The following is a 21330-nucleotide window of genomic DNA, read 5'->3' as shown; positions in this document are numbered from 1 at the left end:
GCTTTGGGGGAGAGGGGTTCTAGTTTCTATGACTCACCTTGGGGAAGAAGGATTCTTTTTCCTGGTAGGGGATAGGGAGTGCGGGATAGGGTCTCCCTTTGTCACCCAGGCTGGAGTGCAGGGGCACTATCTCGGCTCACTGCAACCTCTGCCTCCCAGGTTCAAGCAATTCTCCTGCCTCAGCCTCCTGAGTAGCTGGGATTACAGGCATGCACCACCACAGCCCGGCTAATTTTTGTATTTTTAGTAGAGATAGGGTTTCACCATATTGGTCAGGCTGGTCTTGAATTCCCAACCTCAGCTGATCTGCCCGCCTTGGCCTCCCAAAGTGCTAGGATTACAGGCGTGAGCCACCCTGCCCAGCTGGATTCTTTCTGGTTCCTATGACTCACTTTGTGGAGGGGCAGGAGATAGGAATGCAGAAGAAAGTCAGAAAGACCTTCCTCCTGAGACCTTTCCAACCTTCAGTTCAAAGTAATCAGCATGCCAAGGCACCATACTTCAGGGTATGCCCCAATACTGCTCTGTAAGTAAGGTGTTTTTTCCTCTGGCTCCTTTCAAGATTTTTTTTTATCTTCAGTTTTCTGAAATTTGAATATAATTTCCTACATGTAGTTTTTGCCATTTATTTGGCTTGGTGTTCTCTGAACTTTCTATATCTGTGGTTTGGCTTCTGACATCAACTTGGGGAAATTCTCGGTCATTATTGCTGCAAATATTGGTTCTATTTCTTTCCCATTGTGCATATGTTACATCTTCTGTAGCCCCAGAGTTCTTGGATATTCTGTTCTGTTTTTTTCATTCTTCCCTTTGCTTTTAAGTTTCAATTGTCAATCCTCAAGTTCAGAGATTCTTTCCTCAGCTACGTCCAGTCTACTAATGAGCCCATCAAAGGCATTCTTCATTTCTCTTACAGTGTTTTTGATCTAGATTTCTCTGATATCCACCATGAGAACCTAGTAGAGCTTCTGGAGGCAAAAGTCACAAAAGTGTACCGCCCCCAACCACCCTCCAATGGAGTTTTTATCACTCAGTATTGTTCACTGAGCCTCCAACAATTGAACAATTACAGCTCAGGTTTCTCTGCCCCAGCTCTGGTTTCCATGGAGGTTTCAGCTCCTGGGTGTCTGCTCCAGCAAGTTGTGATTCTTTGTATTCACCTGTCTGTCTCTCCAGTATTTCAAGCAACAGCTCATATGACATCATCTCTCTAACAAATTTGAGAAAAAGTGTTGATTATTTTTTAGTGTGTTTGGGCTTTTACTTGTTGTTAGGATCAAATGACAACTTTCAAGCTACTTATATACCGGACCATAACCCAGAAGTCTGTTCTGTTCATTTTTTAGATTATTTTTTTCTCTGTGATTCATGTTGAAAAGTTTCTATGGTTATGTTTTCACTTTCACTAATGCTTTCTACTGTAATGTCCAACCTGTCATTAAACCTGTCCAGTGTATTTTTCATCTCAAGCATTGTACTTTTTATCTTCAGAAGTTTAATTTGGATCTTTTTTACATCTTCCATGTCTCTACTTAACATTTCTTCTCTTTAACTTTTTGAACATATTAAATACAGTTATGATAACCGTTTTAATGTCTCTGTCTGCTAATTCTAACATCTGTGTTAATTCCAGGTTGGTTTCAACTTTATTATTATTCTCCTCATTATGACTCATATTATCCTACCTCTCTGCATGACTTGGCATTTTTTACTATATGTCAATTTAATATAAAAATTTTGCCCTGTTCAGGGCTGTATGTATTTTATTTCTATTTCCTTTTCTTTTTCTTTTTCTTTTTTTAGATGGAGTCTCACTCTGTCACCCAGGCTGGAGTGCAGTGGCATGATCTCAGATCACTGCAACCTCCGCCTCCCGGGTTTAAACAATTCTCCTGCCTCAACCTCCTGAGTAGCTGGGATTATGGCATACGTTACCACGCCAGGCTAATTTGTGTATTTTTAGTAGAGGTGGGGTTTCACCATGTTGGTCAGGCTGGTCCTGAACTCCTGGCCTTGTGATCTGCCTGCCTTGAGCCTCCCAAAGTGCTGGGATTACAGGCCTTAGCCACTGCACCCGGCCTGATGTTCTATAAATATTCTTGAATTTTTTCCTAGAGTGCATTTAATATACTTGAAAACAGATTGATCCTTTTTGTGTTTGCTTATAGTATTTGTTAGGTGGGATCAGAGCAGCATTTGGTCTGAGGATAATTATTCCCCACTAGCGAGGCAAGACTCAACCCAACACCCCAGGAATGAGGATATTTTCTAGCCTGGCTGGTGGGAACAGGTACTGTTTCCAGTCTTGTACGAGCTCCAGATACTGCTCCCTCTAATCTTTTTCCCTAGTTCCTTCTCCAGCCTCAGGTAGTGTACACATGTGCTAATCAGTACTCTGTGACCACTTGAGGGGGGTCCCTCAATGCATCTCTAGCTTCTTTTTTTGTGCAGCTCTCTCTTCTCTGGTACTCTTCCCTGAAAGCCCTCTTTGCCTTAGTCTTTCTCAGTCAGCTTCATCTCCTCAATTCAAGGTGTTTTCCAGGATCCAACAAGGTTTCTTCTCCCTGCATCATGCCTGAAATCTCTCTTAAATCAGTCAGCTGGTAGAAGTGTAGGATTCATCTCAGCTTCTCATTTCTCAAGAATCACTGTTCTTTGTTGCCTGGTGTCTAATGTCTTGAAAACTGTTCTTTGATGTGTTTTTGCGATGTTCTCGTTATTTGGGGCAAAAGAATAAATCCAGTTCCTGCAGAGCCTATTTATCCCTATTACCAAGACAGGACCCTTCTGGGGTCTGTACTGAATACTCTCCGCTGAGAACATCTAGTCCTCTCCACCTGGCTGGTCTGAACAAAGCTGCCCCGTGTGAGCACTCAGGATTGCTCACCTCACTGCTTTCTGGCAGTGCTTTTCCTAATTTCATGGAGTTTCATCCGTACTTGTGTGGCTTTGCTTTCAGCAACAAACACAAGAGCAAACCTATATACCGATTTCTGCAGCCCTTTCTCTACGCAGCTTCCTCTGCTTTGCAAATTGTGACTGCCTTAGCCTCGCCAAACTTCAGTCTCTGAACCCTCCACTCACGGTCACCACTGCACTCTGTGTAGGTTCTCCTTTCCTGCTCTGAGATCTGGAGAGTGCCTCCAGGCAGAAAGAAGATGCGATCATGGGGTCCATCTTATTTGTTTCCTTTTTTTCAGGGGTCAGAGTCCTGTGCTTCCTGTTATCCAATGTTTAAAAACTGCTGTTTCATTTGTCCCATTTTCTTCTTGTTTATTACGGGAGTGCAAGTGCAATACAAGTTTCTCCATCATAGTGAAAGCAGAATTCTTCAATGTAACTATTTTAAATGACAAAATGCAAATCATTATATTGAAAGTGCTTTTTTCAAATTAATATCCCACTCCTACCAAAATTCTGATCACTCCTCTACAGAGGGCTGGCCCTTGTTTGAGAATAACGCGTCTAGTGAAATCCATGGATTTAAAGCCTTTAATTCAACAACACTTATTCAAACATTTCATAAACTGTATTGCATGGCGGGCACGGTGCTCCGTTCTGAAGATACAGAGACAGGTAAGACGCCATTGGTGCCTTAAGGATTTCACTATCAAAGTCAGCACCTTGTCAGAGTGTTATAAACCCAGTAAGGGCAGTGACAGAGATAATCATGCGAAATATCAATGAGGCAGGGTTGTCAGAGTGTTATAAACCCAGTAAGGGCAGTGACAAACATAATCACGTGAAATATCAATGAGGCAGGGAAAGCAGGGAGGGGAACAGGCCACTGAATCCAGTTTAGAGACAGGTGGAAGGTTGTCAGGGATTACTTCCAGAGGTGACATTTAAGCTGACTCTTTAAAAGGGAAGCAATTCACCAGGCAAAGGGAGGACACTTTGAGCAAAAACAAGAGGCAGAAACAGCACACAGTATGCCTGGGAACAACAGGCCATTTGAGGTTGCTGAAGCAAAAATTCCCAGAGAGGGAGAGGCAGGGGATGGAGCTGGAGAGGCCGGGAGAGGTCAGGACAGGGAGGGCCTTTTTGTGTCACACTGGGGAGCCTGCCACTAAGGGCTGAGTCTTTTACATAACTTTGCATGGTGGCTGGCAGGGTGCATGCCCGCCTCAGCATGCAGCAGGTATTATTAGACGATGATCATGAGAGGCAAATCTGAGAAACCGCAAAACTCTGAGCGGAGCCAAAATCCCTTAGGTTCCGAAGTTCCAGAAAGTTATCTGACTCCTCTGCCCCTTTGCAGATTCAGCTGAGATGTGTGGCCGTGGTGGTCAGCCAGCCCTGAGGCGCTGCTTTCTTGGCAGTTGGCTGAGCCTCTAGACTTGCATCTATGGCTGGAGCATAGTAAGGAGGGGGAAGGGAAGAGCATGAGTGAGACAGAGAAGAAAGACAGCGCTAGGAGATAGGAAGTCATGCTGAGAGACACAGCCACATGGGGCTCAGATTGAAGGGATAGATCAAGAAGCACTTTAACGCAAGAAGATGACTGCTAGTGTGGAGAGGAGAATCTTTCTCCCAGAAAACTCTGCAAATACTTGGTGACCAACCAGACCACAAAGCTGCGTGTTCAGGGGCTCCTTCCCTCCCCATTGTAGGGGTCTCTGGGAGTGGGGCAGGGTCTCCAGTCTGAACTCAAGCCAGGATTCAGACACATATAGACAATGCAGATAGGCCGGCCCCAGCAGAAGTGTATTTGTCTGAGGGGTTGAGGGGCCTCCAGAAAAATAATCCACATGGAAGGAAATGGGAATCCCACCTGATCAGCTTAACCCATAACAAGACTGAGTCCTTTGCAGGGCAAGGAGTCTGAAAAGAACTTCAAATCAGCAGATTGCCAGGGCATGAGTAGTACTGGCCAGGTATTTCCTTAATAGGTATAACATGAAGACGGGGACTAAGGTATTCTTCCTGGCTTTGAAACAGAACATAAAGCAGTTCTGGCTCCTTGAGGGCTTCAGGTGCTGAGCTATAGTGAGAAAGGGAACACCCCCGGGCTGCCCAGCAGGAGGTGGAAAGGCTGGAGAACAGGGAGATCCACGCAGGTGCCTGGCAATGTGCCCAGGCAGAAGCAGTCACATGCTCGTGAACATATGTGAGACATGCTCTGAAACTGCAGAAATATCTTGGGGGTGGTTTGTAGTGGGGTGAAGTTCCACATGAGTTGGAAGAAGCAAGAACTAGGGAAATGTGGATTATAACTGTTAATGGCTCCCACTGTGTAAGTGGGTGAGGCCTGGGAAAAGTTGAGTTCTACTAGGAAAGTACAAAGTTTAGGTTTCCCCAGGGAATAGCTAGCAAGATAATGGCTGCCTTGTCTTTGCGGAAGTCCAACCTGGACACTGTTGATCAGTTGAAACTGTTTCTCTTGAATTCTCCCTCATGTAGCAAGTTTATGAGCTGCAAATGTCCCTCTTTGCTCAGGCCTAGGGCAGGAATCCTTCCTCGATCCTCATCTCTACACATGTCCATCTCATGCCGATTAAATCCTGTGAGCAATCTCTACCACTAAAAAAACCAGGGATAGGTGCAGAGCTGCCTGTCTGAGCAAGATGGGGAGGAGATACAGGGAGGCTTCAAGGCCGCTGTGCCAAGCTCACACAAAGACAGACTTTGAGACAAAAGAGACAAAGACACTAAGCACAAACAGCTATTTTGTTTTCCACCTTATCATTTTCCACATTTTCCAAATTATCTATAGAAAAAGGCAAATGCTAGTTTTTCAAAACCAAATGTAAAAAGTACAAGTAAGCACAGCTTTTCACAATCTACGTGGATGAGGCTCATCTGAGTTTTATGTGCTTTCCCTTTTGGTCACCCATCAGGCATTTGATCCTGATTATGTAACACACAGCAGTCACAGAGAGCAACCACCTGATGTGACGGAGGGAGTTCTGCCATGCAGATGATGCGGAAGGTTGGTGTGGCTAAGCATTGCCAAATCTGACAAATCTGTATTTTGTGGTATCCCCCTTGGGGACAAGGACCCTGTTGTGGGAGGAGATAGACATTAACGTATTTTCCCACTCACCTCCACTGGATCTTGGCTCATCCAGCGAGAGTGATTGACAATCCCCAAAGGCTGTTGGCCAACTATTTGCAAGAGGGGTCCATGGAGAGAGGCCTCTTCCACCTGTTACTCTTTTCTCTATCACTTCACATCCATAGGGGTCCCTAAGCCCCAAGAGAAGGGTCAAGTGCAAATCTGGTAAGCCAAGAAGACCTAGCAGTTGTCAACCTAATTAGCCTTCAGGAAAAATATATGGCTATATGAGCACAGTAAAGTTGCTATAGAGACAGGCAGGGGAGGTACATTCAGAACAGGGCCTCATCGCATCACCCGATAAAAATAAGACCCAGGCTTTTTAATAGCATGAATTACTTAAGTTTTAAATTTAACAGGGGACGACACCAAGGCTCTCACTGGTTTTCAGAACATTTGAGGAATCTGGGCTGCCTGCTTCTGCATATGTTAGCAGCCATCACAACATATGCTGTGGCGGATGGCAATGAAGAACTGGAAGCCCACGTGTCTCTCCCACACCGTGAGATGAGAGATGGTCTTTCTCACTTTGGGTTTGTCCTCTTTAATTGGGTGAGAGATTTTCAATGTGTTTCAGGGAAATTTCTGGGAAATAGCTATACTGCGCTCTGCACTGGCCAGTTGTATGTATTATTGCTAGTCACTGTAACAACCTTAGGAAGTAATGATATCATTTTGCAGATGACAAAATAAGCTCAGAGAGGTCCAGAACTTTCCTAAGGTCACACAGCTACTAAATGGTGGAGTTGAGATTCAAATCCAGGTGTCCCCATTCCAAAGCCCATTGCTTTATGAGACATCAACCAGAACCTCTGCACAGAGAGGAATCCAGGAAGAGATGAATCTAAGGAGCGTTACCATTTTTATTGGTATATGACATGGACCTTGTTATAGTTTAATCTCTCTCCTAAGGCAGTCCCAAAGTGGATGGGTTCCAAGAAATTCCACAGAGATTCTGAGCTCTGCTGGTGAGCACCTCTCCGATTATCCAAGGCAAGTGTTAACTTCAGACTGACTTCTCCTTACCATCCAACATGTTTCTGGACTGTCTCTTCCCTAAGTGAGGACCACCAGCATAATTAACACAAGATTCCAAACAACATCACTGAGAAAGTGTCCCCACTGCTCTTGCATCCATGAAAGCTTAACTATATGAAACCCAGCTGGAAATCCAAAGTGAAGTTCTTTTTGTTGACAACTTTGTCTTCGGATTATTCATGAACCTTTTACTTTGCAGAAGGATTTTTAAAAACAGTTTTCCAACAAAGGCCTACATAGTAGACTCAATCTGAGCCTATAAGGCATCATCTTTCCTCATGGGAAATGGCAGTGCTGGTGATGATGAGATTGGGTATGGGACAACGGCAGTGGAAGGGAGAGGAAGCCAATGGGGAAGTCAGGGGGCCGTGGTGACAGTAGGAACAAGTGGTGCCTATGTCCCTCCCCATTCAGTTTACCAGCTGAGGGTAAAGACAGACATCTGGGCTTCACAGGATTTCAGAAGGCATGTCTAGGGCAACACTAAACACATGGCTTGACAGAAATTTGAACCAAAGCATCGAACCCAGTGAACGAGGCAGAAGGGCAGAGAGAAGGCAGGTAGAAGCCACAGACCAGAGGCTGGGACCCAGGGCACAGCAGAAGGTTTAGAATCAGAGGGAAGGCGGTGGTGCCTCAGTAGAGTCCTTGGGCCATGGAACTCACCCCAGGAGCTTTTCCAGGCTGCCTGCAGCCTGCAATGTGGGTGTAGAGTGTGGCTAAGGGAGCTGCCTGCTGGGACCAGCTCTACTGCTCAGGACACTCAAATCCATCTGTATGCCACTGTCATCACCCCACACATACTCTCTCCAATCCCGGCAAAATCAGTGCTAATGTCTCACCAACAGATTAAGGCCTGGATTGAAGTACAAGAAACAGGATTTTTAACTCAAGTTAATTCAATTCCCCAGCGACCCTTGTTAACTTATTCACCCTCAGAGACGTATTAATAGTTCTGTCTTATATTGTATAGAAATTTGTGCAGTGAGTTTTCTGGTAGCTTTACATTTTTTTTCTCACTTCAGTTAGACATGTAATCTATTTAAAAGTAATATGGGAATAAGATAAATCAGTGTAGGAATAACTTCCTGGCAGAAATATTTTTACTAGTTTCTGAGTGTAATATCAGCCCAGCAAAAGTTATCTGCAAATATAGAAGTTCTCATGTACATCAAAGACACTCAAGTTTTTTTTAAGAAATAAATCATTTTATGCTACTGAAATAACTCTGTGATGTGCTATTGGCATTTAAGGAGCTAAACAGACTCTATGGGCCAGCCAACTTCTACTGCAAGCATTAGACATGCACAGGCTTTAGACTCAGGCACACCTTAGAAGTTCTGGCTTTGCTACTTATTAGCTATGGTAACTCGGGCAGGTCATTTATCCTCTCTAAGCCTCAACTTCCTCATCTGTGAAATGGGAATAATATCAGTCACATGCCAGGGATAAATCCAGGGAGAATGGCCAGGGGGCTGTGTCAAAGGCCAGACACAACTTCCACCCCAGGTGAATGTCGGGACCAGGACAGTGAGCAGGCAAACCTTGCCCTTGCCCTCCTTCCCTCCACAATCTTAAAGCTCCTTGAACAACCCCCATCCCCACCCCCTGAGAATGTCTGTGCCCTCCTGCTGAAAGGGTTTGGCCTTTCAGTGTTCCCCTCCACCATGAGCTGTTTCCATGAAAAGATCTCAAGGGTGACTTGAGGCTACGGTCATCACTACCACAAGCCTTTTCCCATCCCTGCCTCTACCTATTGCCCTCTAAATAAGGAAGCCAGCGCTGCCAGGCAAAGAACTTCTGCCCAATATGGGTCCTGGGTGGCCTCTCGCCTCTCTCTTTCCCTGGGCCCCCAGCCAGCTCCCCCCTCCCCCAGAGATGCTCCCTGCTCACTTCATTCCTGCCTCATAGTTGGAATGACAGTGGCTCCCAGAACCCCTGGGGAGTGTGGAGGGTGATGGGGGTCTGGGGAGGCAGCCAGGCCCAAGAGCAGGTTAATGTTACAGCCCTGGATAAGTGAGCTGGGCGGGTTGACGTCAGGGCGATGATGGGTGGAGGGGAGGGCCGGGCTGCTGAAGCAACTATAAAGATAGGTCAAATCAAATATCATCAACTAGGGACGGAGCAAGCGGGCGAGCTAGAGAGCGTCCCCGAGCCATGGTCTCTACCGGCCGCGGCTCAGCCTGGGTCCCTCTGCTCTCAACCCGAGTGCCCGATGGAGGCTTTGGTTTCATGTCAGCAGCCTTCATCTGCCTTCCAAAAATAAGCCCCTGCCGCCATGCCGGAGGGAGAAAAACAAGAAGGGCGGTATTTTTAGGGCCATTAATTCTGACCACGTGCCTGAGAGGCAAGGTGGATGGCCCTGGGACAGAAACTGTTCATCACTATGTCCCGGGGAGCAGGACGTCTGCAGGGCACGCTGTGGGCTCTCGTCTTCCTAGGCATCCTAGTGGGCATGGTGGTGCCCTCGCCTGCAGGCACCCGTGCCAACAACACGCTGCTGGACTCGAGGGGCTGGGGCACCCTGCTGTCCAGGTCTCGCGCCGGGCTAGCTGGAGAGATTGCCGGGGTGAACTGGGAAAGTGGCTATTTGGTGGGGATCAAGCGGCAGCGGAGGCTCTACTGCAACGTGGGCATCGGCTTTCACCTCCAGGTGCTCCCCGACGGCCGGATCAGCGGGACCCACGAGGAGAACCCCTACAGTGAGTGCCAGCTGCAGCCAGTCGGGACGCTTGGGGGTTTGGGCTCATGCAGGGCTAAAAGGTGAAGGGGCCCTGCTCTAGCGGACAGGATGCACGATAAAGGGGGCAGAAATGCTGCTCACCACTTAGATGATTCCACGTGACCCTGCCTGGGTGCAAGCTCAATATACTGCGGTCCAAGCATCCTGGTGTTCTTTGCCATCGCCTTGGTTAGATCCTCAGTGGCACTAACTATTTCAGCATTACTGGCCCATCTGATGCCTTGTAAGACCATTAGGAACCATTAGTCTGGGAAGCCCCCAAGGCCTGGGTAGGGAGAATCAGTTAGTATACTTGGATCAAATTTGACACAAGCTCATTTTTATTCAGCTTCTTTCTTGGAGAAGGAAGGGAAATTCAATTGCAAAATGTCCAACTGAAGCACATCCTTCTTTTTATTTCAGCGGCTCCCTCTGTCCCCAGGTTCTTATCCTGCAAGCTGCCTGCAAGCTGCCAGCTTGCTGTATGGTTAGTCTCCTATCCAAGAAAGGATGGGGGCTGCAGGATCCAAGAAAGCCATCAGCTATGGTGTGGCTGCTGTGTTTTCAAGATTAAGTGGGTTGAGATTTGTTGAAACATGTAGAGTACACATTAAGAAGAAGAAGAAGAATCAGAATTTATTTTTTTACTCAAGTCAAGGACCTCAAGTAATTATGTCACTGAAAGCCCAGATTCAAAGCTCATCTTAAACAGATAGCTAAGTGGTCACTGCAGCCCCTAACTCTGCTATCAGAACCTTCCCTTGCAGAACTGGATTTCTAACAGCACAATGGCAGCACTCGATGAGTCCAGCAGCCAGGGTCTCCTAGAGTTAGAGGGATCATGGATGGGGCAATGGAGAGTCTGGCTTTCTAGGAGAAGGGGGATGGACTGAGATGCCCTTGTCGGCTCAAGTTCCCACTCTGATTTGCACAAGCCTTAGGTAATGTGGCCCCCCTTTCCTTGTCAGGCCTGCTGGAAATTTCCACTGTGGAGCGAGGCGTGGTGAGTCTCTTTGGAGTGAGAAGTGCCCTCTTCGTTGCCATGAACAGTAAAGGAAGATTGTACGCAACGGTGAGTTCACCAGGCCGGGGAAGTGCCAGGTTTACAAGGCTTGATGCTTACACAGTTGAAGAAAATAATATGAAGTCCTGAGTAGAGAAGTGACTATCTAAATGGGAAAGGAAAGGCTGTGAGAGGAGCCTGTGAAAGGGAGGGGCCTTGCAGCTTGTGCTTCTTCAGCCTCACGGGTGATTGTCCTCTGCCCTGGCCCGTGCTTCTTCTGTTCCCACCTGCCGGCCGGAGCCCGTGTGCTTAAACGGAAACCACAGCTCAGGGAGCCCGTGGGCCAGAGGGAAACCCACATTCTGGCATCCAGGCTTGTGAGCAGGTGTGATTCCCTGCACTGGCGAGGCCCCGAGAGCAAGTCTGTCTCTCTGCCTGGGTGCGCTGCTCCATGACACGCGCCCTGCAAGATGCCCCAGCCTCGTGCGCAGCAGGAGGAGTGGAATGGGAGGCTATTTTCATCCTCATCAGTGTGCTGAGATTCTGCACTAGGGTTTTCAATCCTCTGGTCTCCGATCACGTACGCTAGAGAAGCAGCCTACCCGTTATACACTTTAGGCTGGTACCAGTCCCACCCATTCCCATCCCCACCCCCATAGGTCACCTCTGGGAGTGCCAATGCTGGCACTTGGGTTAATGCAACCAGCTTCTAAGCACATTGACGAAAACCTCTGCTCTCACTGACCTACTCTTTCCTGCAGCCCTCGGCCCATCATTTGGCTTATTCCAAAATATGGCGGGGCAAACATCCCGATGAGGCTGAAGAAATGGAGAGTTCCTTTGACAGAAATAAGCAAGCTAAAAAGGAAGACCTCAGAGCAGGCCTCAAAAAATATCAAAGTTATTTATGGGGAGGGTGTGGAGAGCTGATCTACTGCCCCTTGGAGGATAAACTGAGGACTGGGATGTGAAGAAATAGATCCAGGACTGGCACTGGGTCCCAGGGGAGCTGTCCCAACAGAGGAGGTCTATGAAATACAAGAACGGGTTCACCAGGTGGCCTCCACCCCATAATCTTTAGTGCTAACATCTCTCAGTCTGGGTTGGTTTATGTGGACATACGGCATGCACTACAATCAGTGGGTCTCCCACACGGGTCTGTGGACAGTTTGCATCTCTGTCACCTTGGAAACTTATTAAAAGTATGGATTTCCAGGTACCTACCTAGGAGATTCTTATTCAGCAGAGCTGGCGTGTGGGCCTGGAAATCCATTTGTTTTTGTATTTTAAATTTGCCAGGTGTTTCTGAGGAACAGGCAGGCTTGGGGGTCAGCAGGCTACATGGCCTCTGGAGGGCAGGGGACCACCCACTCCCCATGTTACACTGAACCTGAAAGCTGGAGGGCGAGTGAGATGAGACAGAAGAGACATATCCTTGTTACCGCTCTCTGGGAAAGTGATGGCGAGGACAGGAAGAGGCCTGGGACCAACCCAGGTTTTGATGGAGCAGGTTTCCCCTCTGTAGGGTGGGGCATCCCAAAGAACCCCTTCTTCCCAGCCTGCATAATGCCCGGAAGCCCATAGGGTCGGGAGAGCCGGGAATTTAGGCTGTTGGCTGTGGGACTCCATGCAAGCAAGGGACGTTTTAGCAAGTAAATCTCCTGGGAGAAAGCACAAATTTCATAAACTCTTCTTTCTCCTTGTCGCCTTTATCAACAAACCATTTATTACTTTTTTCTTCCTACCCAGAAAGGAATTTAATTGTGGGGAGGAGAAAATGCACAAATATAGAGGAAATTTACCCACTTCCCACTTTCAATCTCTTGGCCCTGGAAGGAGAAGCTGGGAAAGGCTCGGGAAGGGAATATACGATTTAACCATCAGAGAAAGCGCCACAAAGCGGGGAAGAGCATTCAGAATAGCAAAAAGGAAAGGAGGCTGACTCCTAATGCCTGAAACCCACCACCCCACCCCCAGCCCTCACTCTGCAGCACCGTTACTGGCTGATGACTTCAAAGGGGGTTAGGCAGGTTGATGAACTGCTGGGCTTACTAAACAAGCAGAGTCCAGGAGAAAGGAAGACTTCTGGGAAAAGACCCGGCGCCCTTCACCTCCACCCTCCCACCCCTCCTACCTTCACCCTCAGTAGCATTTGGCCAAAGAGCATCTTCTCCAGGGAGGGAGATTCTCCTCCCTGGACCTCAGGGCCAGCCGGGCCTGCACACAGAGAGTGGGGCTGGACAGCTGTGCCCCAAGCCTGGGGCACCTGACGTTTTGTGTGGCTCAGGACCAGATGCTCCTGAGCAACTTCTACCCCTCCCTCTCCGCCCCTCAGAGGCCGTTATCACAGTCTAAAAAAACAATTGCCAACTGATCCCCGGAGCCAGGAAGACTCCTGCTGGGTGATGATTTCATTCACACTATTTCCTTTTAAGCCCCCGGAGCTGCCTCATCTCCCAGGCTCAGCTGCTACTGCCAGTTCATGGGATTTCTCATGGGTGGGGGAGGGAAACTGGGCTGGGGCTGAGGTGTTGGTGAGGGGGACAAGGCAACGACTCGTGGGCAGAGAACAAGGGCCAAGGAAACCTGGCTAGAAGTGGCTTCACACATGTCTGTCTCCTGGAAAGAGGGGTGTGGAGGCTCAGGGCAGTTTGCCAGGCCCCCCTTTAGACAATATAAACAGCTGCCCTGCCCTGAGCACTAGCCTACTGCTTGTGCTCGGATTCACAGGCTGCAGAGGGCTTCACGAGCATGATCTCACAGCACCCCTAGGAGGTGCATTTGATCTTCATCCTCCCTGTGCAGCTGCGGACACCCGGTCTCCAGGGTCACACGTCCAGCCACAGCTGTGTGCAGCCCCGTCTCAGGGCTCCGCGACCCGAGTTCCAGTTCCTGGCCAACCTACCCTCCAGCTACTCGTCTTACTTTGGGCAACGTCACTGAACTTCTCTGGGCCTGGATCTCTGCTCTCTGAGGATGAGGCAGAAATCAGTGAATTCTAGCCCCCTTGGTCCCCTTTGAAATTCAGAAAACAAAATATCAAGGATCTCCACCTGACAGTGGTTCTATTAGAATCCTTTGGTTGAGAAAAATATATACTAGTAAAAAGATACCAGCAATTCGGTCGTGCTTTCAAGTGATTTCAGTTTTACTAAGAAGAGCCGCATTTACATGCTTTTCGTCAACAGTATGACAATGTGCAAAGGACAAAATTGATTTCCTCCAGAGACCTTTGATTATTATCTGGGGCATTACATTGGGGCATTATTATCTGGGGCATTGCATTATTATCTGGGGCATTACATTATTATCTGGGGCATTACAAGGCTGGGAGGACCAGCCTTGCCTTGGCTCAGCTGCCACTGTAGCAGAAAACAGCACTCCTGAGGGAATGGGATGAAGGACACCCACCATGAGGAAGTGCTGGGAGATGGGGCTGGAGAGCAGCGGGAGGTGCATGCCCTTATGCAGGGCCTGAGGCTCTGCATACAAATCCCCGCCTGCTACAAAGAGCTGCACTGGAGTGAGAAGAATGAAACACCTGATGAAAACACTTTCCAACATTCCTAAATCAACAGTTCAATTGTGTGCTAGGAAAAAGGGTTGGAAAATGCAGGCATCTTCAGAGCTGATGATATTTCAGCTAAAGACAGGAAAAGAAGCAGTCAGGGGCTACAGAAGAAAGTCTTAGGACAAAGAATTGGTTTATTTTTCCTTCTTGCCCACATCCTTCCACCCCATCCTTCTCCATCCAACACACACTGCCAGGAGGAACAGGGACAAATGGCCCCAGCGGTCACAGGGTGAAGATGTTTAAAAGCAGGATTAGATCCTCGTTGGTCCAAGTGACTTAGCTCTAAAGGCGAGAGGGTGGCTGTCTTGTCCACCTCACACTTTGGAGGCACCTCTACCCCATGGATATGCTTGCTCCTCTGAGAAATGCCCTTCTCCATAGTGAGTGCCAAATGCACATAAGTCTGAATAGACCTACATCAAATTGAAGATATTTTCATGCTGGGGCTTGAGCCTGGCAGGCCCAGGAAATGTGACCCAGTGGAATGATTTTCATTTATTCAAGTAATCATATACAGTAGCTGCTTTTATGAACATGGCGTTCACTTGGCTCGAGTGCGTTCTTCACCAGAGCTGAGGGGCCAACATTCCCAAGCCATGAGAACTCAAAGCTCAGGGCTCTGATGAAGATGAATTAAGGGGCTGGGTCTTGAGCATCACTCTGGGCATCGGGAAAATCCCATCAGCCTGAAGCATTCAGAAAAAATGCACTATCTCTCCTTCATGCCACAGGCCTCCTGGCCTTCCAAACCCCACAGATGTGGGTGCTGAGGGCGGAGGAGAGAGAGCAGCAAGGGGAAGGTTAGGGCTTCTAACACAAGCTTCCTCTACTAGTTGTCTTTTTTCACTTTAGTTTTGTACAGGATTCTGGGGAAGGCCAGGGATATGAGACAGGCTAGAGAAAAGGGCAGAATGGAAAGAAAAAAAAGTAGTAAACTTGAAAAAAAAATAGAAACAGAAAAAAAAAAAGTGTGTATGTTGAGGGGGAGTGGATTTGAATGATCCAAAATCGAATGACCAGAGAAGCAAAGTACAATCTACGCATCCATGGTCATGCATGCTTAAACAATCATGTTTTAGGAGATCCAGATGTTTAGGAGAGGCTGGGTTCTCAAATGGGCACATTCTAGGCACGGGGAAGTGGGCAATGGCTTGAGAGTTTCTTGTCCAAGTCACTCAGTTCCTCCCACTTCCCCTTCCTCCACCTCAAGATTTCATTTCCTCACTAGAGCTTGCAAACAACACACGAAACCTCTCCCTTAACCACCATCCAGATCAGAAATAAATTCTCTGGAACTGACTGGGCGGGTTACTCTCCAGGGACATACAAAGTTAGAACAGGGGGGAGGCTGGTGGGTGGAGAGGGGCCGTGACCCAACAAGAAGGAGACCACCAGTTTCTGATCAAAATGTTTTCTCGCTTCGTTTCCTGGCCCATTTGCTACCCTAAATTCCCTTCCCACTTTAAATAATTTACGTACTTGACTAGGTAACACAGGAACATGTTTTAAGGAGAAAAAAGTATCAAAGAATATTCTATGGAAAGTCTCACTCCCACCATTGTCTTGAAGCCACTGAGTTCCTCCCTAGAGGCAGCCCCAGTTACCAGTGTTTCATTCCAGTATATCGTTCCAGAAATAGCTAACGCACACGTGCACGCACCGGTATCATCTTTTTTAAAAAATCACACAAACAAGAGCGTACTATGCCAACACTTTTTCAAACCTTGTGTCTTCACTTAGCAATGTATCTTTGAGGCCATTTCATGTCATTACAGAGAGGCTTCTTATCTTTTCAAGGCTTATAGAATTCCATCATGTGGATCTACCATAATTGAGTTAGTTACTCCTCTTTTTTTTTTTTTTTTTTTTTTTTTTTGAGATAGAGTCTCGCTCTGTCACCAGGCTGGAGTGCGGTCTTGGCCCACTGCAATCTCCACCTCCCCGGTCCAAGAGATTCCCCTGCCTTAGCCTCCCAAGTAGCTGGGACTACAGGCATGCACCACCATGCCCAGCTAATTTTTTGTATTTTGGTAGAGATGCGGTTTCACCATGTTGACCAGGATGGTCTCAATCTCCTGACCTCGTGATCCACCCACCTTGGCCTCCCAAAGTGCTGGGATTACAGGCATGAGCCACCTCAGCTACTCCTCTCTTAATAGATACATTGTTTTTGGTCTTTTGTTATTTAATGCTGTAGTAACTTTTGTGCGTGTGTGGGAATATATCAGTAAGATAAATTTCTAGGAGTGGAATTGCTGATCAGTTGCTATATTCATCCTTTATTCTGGTAGATGCTGCCAAATTGCTCTTTATAGAGATTATAACAGTATACACATCAGAGGACATTAAATGAGAATTCCTAGTTTCTGTGCCCTCACTAATGAGAGCATAGTGTCAAACGCTTTTCTCTTTGAAATCTGGCCACTAAAAATGGGATCTCACAGTTATAACTTACATTTCTCTTATTAGGCATATTCTCTTCTGCTCAAATGCCATTGATAGTTCTTTTCCTGGGAATTTTCTGTTTTATAAATGCTGTTCATTCTCCAGTGAGTTTAGGGTTCTGAATATAGTAACAAAATGTATTCTTTGACATATGTGTATTGTATGTATTTTCATCCAGTTTACCATTTCTGTTCTTCTTTTAAGGTAATATTTTTCAAGTAGAAGACAATTTATTACTTTTTAAAAATGGTTTTAATTTTTTTTGTCCTGATTAGAAAGATGTTCCTGATTCTGAGTTTATTAAAAAAAACTTTTTCTGGATTTTAATGGTTCTTTTTTTTTTACATTTGAATCTTTACTCCCTTTGGAATTTATTTTGATGTAAGGGATAAAGTCATACACATCAAACTTTATTATCATTATAATAAAATACCATTCAGTTGTTCCAACACCATGTTTTCTCTAGTGATTTAAAATAACACTTTTACTTTATATTCATTTCAGATTAATTTCATTTTACATCCATGTATGTGTTGGGATCTACTGCTGGACTCTATGTTGTTCATTGACCTGTACTGGACTTCTCATTAGTGTAGCTTTACTTGGAATGTTTCAATCAGTTCTGAGCTGAATTTTTCCTGGTGCTGCTGCTCCCAAGCTTGCCCACCAACGACTGAAGTCCTGTGCACAGGGCAGGAAACCAGGGTCCAGAGAGGCTCCTAATGAGGGGTCTTGGTTCAGAGCCAGCGTCAGCCTCTGCCCTTCCTCTGGCTTCCTGCTCTTCCATGCAAGCTTACTGTCTCCCAGGCACTCCATCAAAAACCGCAGAGCTTAAAAGCTAAATTGTCCAGTAACCCCCAGCAAGTCTTATGGGACTGGTGATCCAGGGTAAGGCAGTCTTTCGAGGCTTTTAATGTAAAGTAGTTCATTATTTACTTGGAGAAGAATACTAGTACTACTAATTTGTTTTTAATTCTACTGTATAGCAAGCATTGTTCCCAGGACTTTCCATGCATAATTTCAATTAATGCTTACTCCAGTTCTATGACACAATTTTTCTTACTGTTCTTACTTCACAGATGAGGGAATTGAAGCTTTAGAGGTTAAATGATTTCCCCAGGCTCACGTAGCTAAGAGGCTATTGTCATCAGTCTAACCTTAAAGCTGTGGCACAAATATGTTCTTGACCTACATTGATTAGTTCATCCTTTTTACCTTTAAGACATCCCTTCATTCATCCATTCCACAAATATTCACTGAGCATCCTAACGAGGAAAACAGGAAAGCTTATGAAAAACCCACCCCCCGGTGTGGCATTAACCTGTTGACATGGCTAGTGAACGCCTTCACATTTATCTCAAGCAAGTTAACATCAGTGAAAGTGCTTTGTAAATAAGCTGCAAGCATGAGAGAAGAAGATGGGGAAAACATATGAGGGCAGTTTCACCGTGTTCCCATAGGCAAGGCTGTCCCCTCACCCACGCTCACATCACATTGAAAGAGCCACCCATGCAGGGGTCTCCTTATGTTTCTGTGCTGTCCTTATTTACTTATTTATTTATTCTTGAGACAGGGCCTCACTCTGTCACCCAGGCTGGAGTGCGGCGGAGCAATCATGGCTCACTGCAGCCTCGACCTCAAGCGGTTCTCCCACCTCAGCCTCCAGAGTAGCTGGGACTACAGGCATGCGCCATCATACCTGCCTTTTTTTTTTTTTTAAGCTTTTGTAGAGACAAGGTCTTGCTATGTTGCCTAGGTTCCTCTCAAACTCCTGGGCTCAAGTGATCCTCCTGCCTTGGCCTCCCAAAGTACTGGATTACAGGTGTGAGCCACTGAAACCAGCCATGTTGTCGCTATTAAACCACCATCCACTCAGCATCATGTACCAAGCAAGACACAGTCCTCATCTCAGGGATCTTGGAGTCTATTGGGAAAGAAAGTATGGCTGTTCTAAATGTTGCCAGAGAGGTCCACTGAAAGGGCTCTGGGAGTCTTGGGGCCCTGAGGAGCAAGCTACTAACCAGCCCTTCAGAACAGCAAGAGGTTCTCGTCCAGCTACACTGCCAGCAAGATGGGACACTAGCAGTACGATTCCTTTACAGAAGGTCAGAGGACACCTCTGGCACAGCCCAGTAGCCATCGAGCGGGTTTTTTTTTATACTCAAGCAAGAAGGAGTCAGAAGTTATCCTCCATCCATTTCTCATTCTATATTTCTTTTCAAGAGTAGATCCCGGGTCTCTGGCTCCCACCTCGCTCTCTGTTCTTCTAGCCCCGACCCAGCTGCTTCCCCACAAGAGCAGGAAATCCCCGCATACTCCCTTAGGGCAGCCACCCAGGCAGGTTGCAGAGGAAAGAGGAGGACTTGGGGTGATGTACTGGGAATGAATCTGTGCATGCGAGACAGGAAGTCCAGCGTTCATGTGACAGGAAGTCCAGTGTTCATGTGACAGGAAGTCCAGCGTTCATGTTCTGAACAGGTGGTCCACACACACTCTACAAAATTAGCATGGAAAGGGCCATTTTTTTGTTGGTCCCAGGCTCCTTGGCCTCACCTGTCACATTGGGAACCAGGTCCTTTTCCCCATAAAAATTCCTGCTCCTCACCATTTCTGTTCCTGCATGTCCCTGGAGAACTATGATTGTCTTGGACAGCAGTCCCCAGCCTTTTTGGCACCAGGGACCAGTTTCATGGAAGACTATTTCCATGGACAGGGTGAGTGATGGGGACATGGGGGGACGGTTTGGGGATGAAACTGTTCCACCTCAGATCATCAGGCATTAGTTAGATTCTCAGAAGGAGCAGGCAACCCAGATCCCTCACATGCAAAGTTCACAACAGGGTTCTTGCTCCTATGAGAATCTAATGCCACTGCTGATCTGACAGGAGGTGGAGCTCAGGTGGTCTTGCAGGCAATAGGGAGTGGCTGGAAAACAAATGAAGCTTCGCTCACCCACCGCTCACCTCCTGCTGTACAGCCCAGGTCCCGCACGGGTATGGGCCGCTGACTGGTATGGGTCTGCAGCCTGGGGGTCGGGGACCCCTGGTCTAGGAGGTACCAGACCTCTTCTAGACTCAAAGTCAAAACTGAGAATGGGCCTTTTTGAGGGATAGAAAACTTGAGACTTAAACCAGGAAAGACAGACTGAGGAACCACAAGCAGAAACAAAGAGACAGGCAGTGCTGGAAAGGGCTTAAGAGATCACTTGTGTCTCCTCCCCCTCCACCAACCGCCTCTCTCCTTCTTCCCCCACCACACACAGTCTGCAGAAAAGAGAACTGAGGCTGCAAGGGGAGGAACCTGCCCAAGGTCACACAATTAGGAAGTAGAAAAGTCACGAAATAGCACCCTGAGCTCTCATCCCTGCTCCAGTAGACTCCCTCTCAGAGTGGACTTGAGAAAACAGCTTGTGTCATTTCCTGGTCTGTTCTTTGAATGGAATAAGTTACCATCTAGGGACTTAGTAGAAACTACTCTGGAAGTCAGGACACCTGAGTGGTAGAGCCTCAGCTCTACCCCATGTGGCACAGACCATCCCCTGTGTCCCTGGGCCTTGGTTTCCTTATCGTAAAGGAGGGAAGGTGAGAGGAAACCATGAGAGCCTGCAGCCTCTTCCCATCCTAACCTTTCACCATTCTGTTCACCCAGGATGCTCAGACCTCACGGTGGTTGTCTCACAAAGAGAAGGGAAGGGCACCTGGCAGAGGGGCCTACTCTCTGCGGCCCAGCTGGCATCTGCAGCACTCCTCATTTGTAACCCAGTCTCTGCTGTTTGCCCATGTCTTCCACAGCCCAGCTTCCAAGAAGAATGCAAGTTCAGAGAAACCCTCCTGCCCAACAATTACAATGCCTACGAGTCAGACTTGTACCAAGGGACCTACATTGCCCTGAGCAAATACGGACGGGTAAAGCGGGGCAGCAAGGTGTCCCCGATCATGACTGTCACTCATTTCCTTCCCAGGATCTAAGGACCCACAAAAGAAGGCTCACAGATTTAAAGCATCATCTGTTCGATTGAAATTTTGCACCAGCGAAGAATTCCCCTTGCCCTCCATGGCTTCTGAATCAGGCTTATCCTGTGCTTGGGGAGACCTCAGTTGTTTTCCTTGGCCACTGGACCCCACGGCATGTAGCCCATTCAAACGAGGGCTAAAATCAGCAATTTTAGAATGGCAATTTATCCCATGCTCTGACCTCCCTCGAGGAGAGAAGGTATCGGTGACACTTGTGGAATGTGACCATGTGCATAGGAAAAGGCCAGGGTAGGAGTTTGTGTGCATTGTTGTATATCCATACAGCTTTATACACATTCTCAGAGCAATGGCATTTCAAAGCATCAGGTTTCTTTCTCCTAGCATCATCGCTGCAGGAATCTGCCTGTAAGAATGTCACTTGTCAAACCAGCAAGATTGATGTGTGCTCCCATTCTGCCTCTTTCCAATCATCTTTCCATTCAGAGGCCACTAACTACATGGGTTGCATAGGTCAGC

At 47.2% G+C, this 21330-nt stretch overlaps 1 protein-coding gene across 3 annotated transcripts, besides 5 other annotated features; it reads left to right on the top strand.

Annotated features, from left to right (window-relative positions):
• Positions 3817-4519: an enhancer, noted in NCBI's record as "NANOG-H3K27ac-H3K4me1 hESC enhancer chr12:4559670-4560372 (GRCh37/hg19 assembly coordinates)". NCBI's record gives its function as "activates a minimal SCP1, AML or CMV promoter by ChIP-STARR-seq in primed H9 embryonic stem cells {active_cell/tissue: H9 hESC(primed)}" and the evidence as "EXISTENCE:reporter gene assay evidence [ECO:0000049][PMID:30033119]".
• Positions 3906-4200: a silencer, noted in NCBI's record as "tiled region #794; K562 Repressive non-DNase unmatched - State 21:Repr". NCBI's record gives its function as "represses a minimal TATA promoter and a strong SV40 promoter by Sharpr-MPRA in K562 cells {active_cell/tissue: K562}" and the evidence as "EXISTENCE:reporter gene assay evidence [ECO:0000049][PMID:27701403]".
• On the top strand, positions 9208-20881 carry FGF6 (fibroblast growth factor 6). Of its 3 annotated transcripts, none has more exons than NM_020996.3 (3): positions 9208-9798; positions 10787-10890; positions 20632-20881. In NM_020996.3, exons 1-3 carry the CDS (start codon positions 9453-9455, stop codon positions 20806-20808), a joined length of 627 nt encoding a protein of 208 aa, NP_066276.2. In that variant the 5' UTR covers positions 9208-9452; the 3' UTR covers positions 20809-20881. The 3 variants fall into 3 exon arrangements, with proteins under 3 accessions (NP_066276.2, XP_016874484.1, XP_016874485.1); XM_017018995.2 differs by lacking the exon at positions 20632-20881 and adding an exon at positions 13627-16146; XM_017018996.2 differs by lacking the exon at positions 20632-20881 and adding an exon at positions 12571-13276.
• Positions 12524-13274: an enhancer, noted in NCBI's record as "NANOG-H3K27ac-H3K4me1 hESC enhancer chr12:4550915-4551665 (GRCh37/hg19 assembly coordinates)". NCBI's record gives its function as "activates a minimal SCP1, AML or CMV promoter by ChIP-STARR-seq in naive H9 embryonic stem cells {active_cell/tissue: H9 hESC(naive)}" and the evidence as "EXISTENCE:reporter gene assay evidence [ECO:0000049][PMID:30033119]".
• Positions 13275-14025: an enhancer, noted in NCBI's record as "NANOG-H3K27ac-H3K4me1 hESC enhancer chr12:4550164-4550914 (GRCh37/hg19 assembly coordinates)". NCBI's record gives its function as "activates a minimal SCP1, AML or CMV promoter by ChIP-STARR-seq in primed H9 embryonic stem cells {active_cell/tissue: H9 hESC(primed)}" and the evidence as "EXISTENCE:reporter gene assay evidence [ECO:0000049][PMID:30033119]".
• Positions 14026-14777: an enhancer, noted in NCBI's record as "NANOG-H3K27ac-H3K4me1 hESC enhancer chr12:4549412-4550163 (GRCh37/hg19 assembly coordinates)". NCBI's record gives its function as "activates a minimal SCP1, AML or CMV promoter by ChIP-STARR-seq in primed H9 embryonic stem cells {active_cell/tissue: H9 hESC(primed)}" and the evidence as "EXISTENCE:reporter gene assay evidence [ECO:0000049][PMID:30033119]".
• Positions 20882-21330: the final 449 nt, after the last annotated feature.

The sequence above is a fragment of the Homo sapiens genome, chromosome 12, assembly GCF_000001405.40.
Source record: "Homo sapiens chromosome 12, GRCh38.p14 Primary Assembly".
Lineage (NCBI taxonomy): Eukaryota > Metazoa > Chordata > Mammalia > Primates > Hominidae > Homo > Homo sapiens.
The sequence above is the reverse complement of the archived record's forward strand: the minus strand, read 5'-3'. Positions and strand labels throughout refer to the sequence as shown.

Bases quoted from the DNA above. Each gene is read 5' to 3' on its own strand.
- FGF6 (NM_020996.3), top strand. From the start codon at position 9,453: ATGGCCCTGGGACAGAAACTGTTCATCACTATGTCCCGGGGAGCAGGA. The intron at 9,799-10,786 runs GTGAGTGCCAGC...TTTCCTTGTCAG, and splicing joins CCACGAGGAGAACCCCTACA to GCCTGCTGGAAATTTCCACT. The intron at 10,891-20,631 runs GTGAGTTCACCA...TGTCTTCCACAG, and splicing joins AAGGAAGATTGTACGCAACG to CCCAGCTTCCAAGAAGAATG.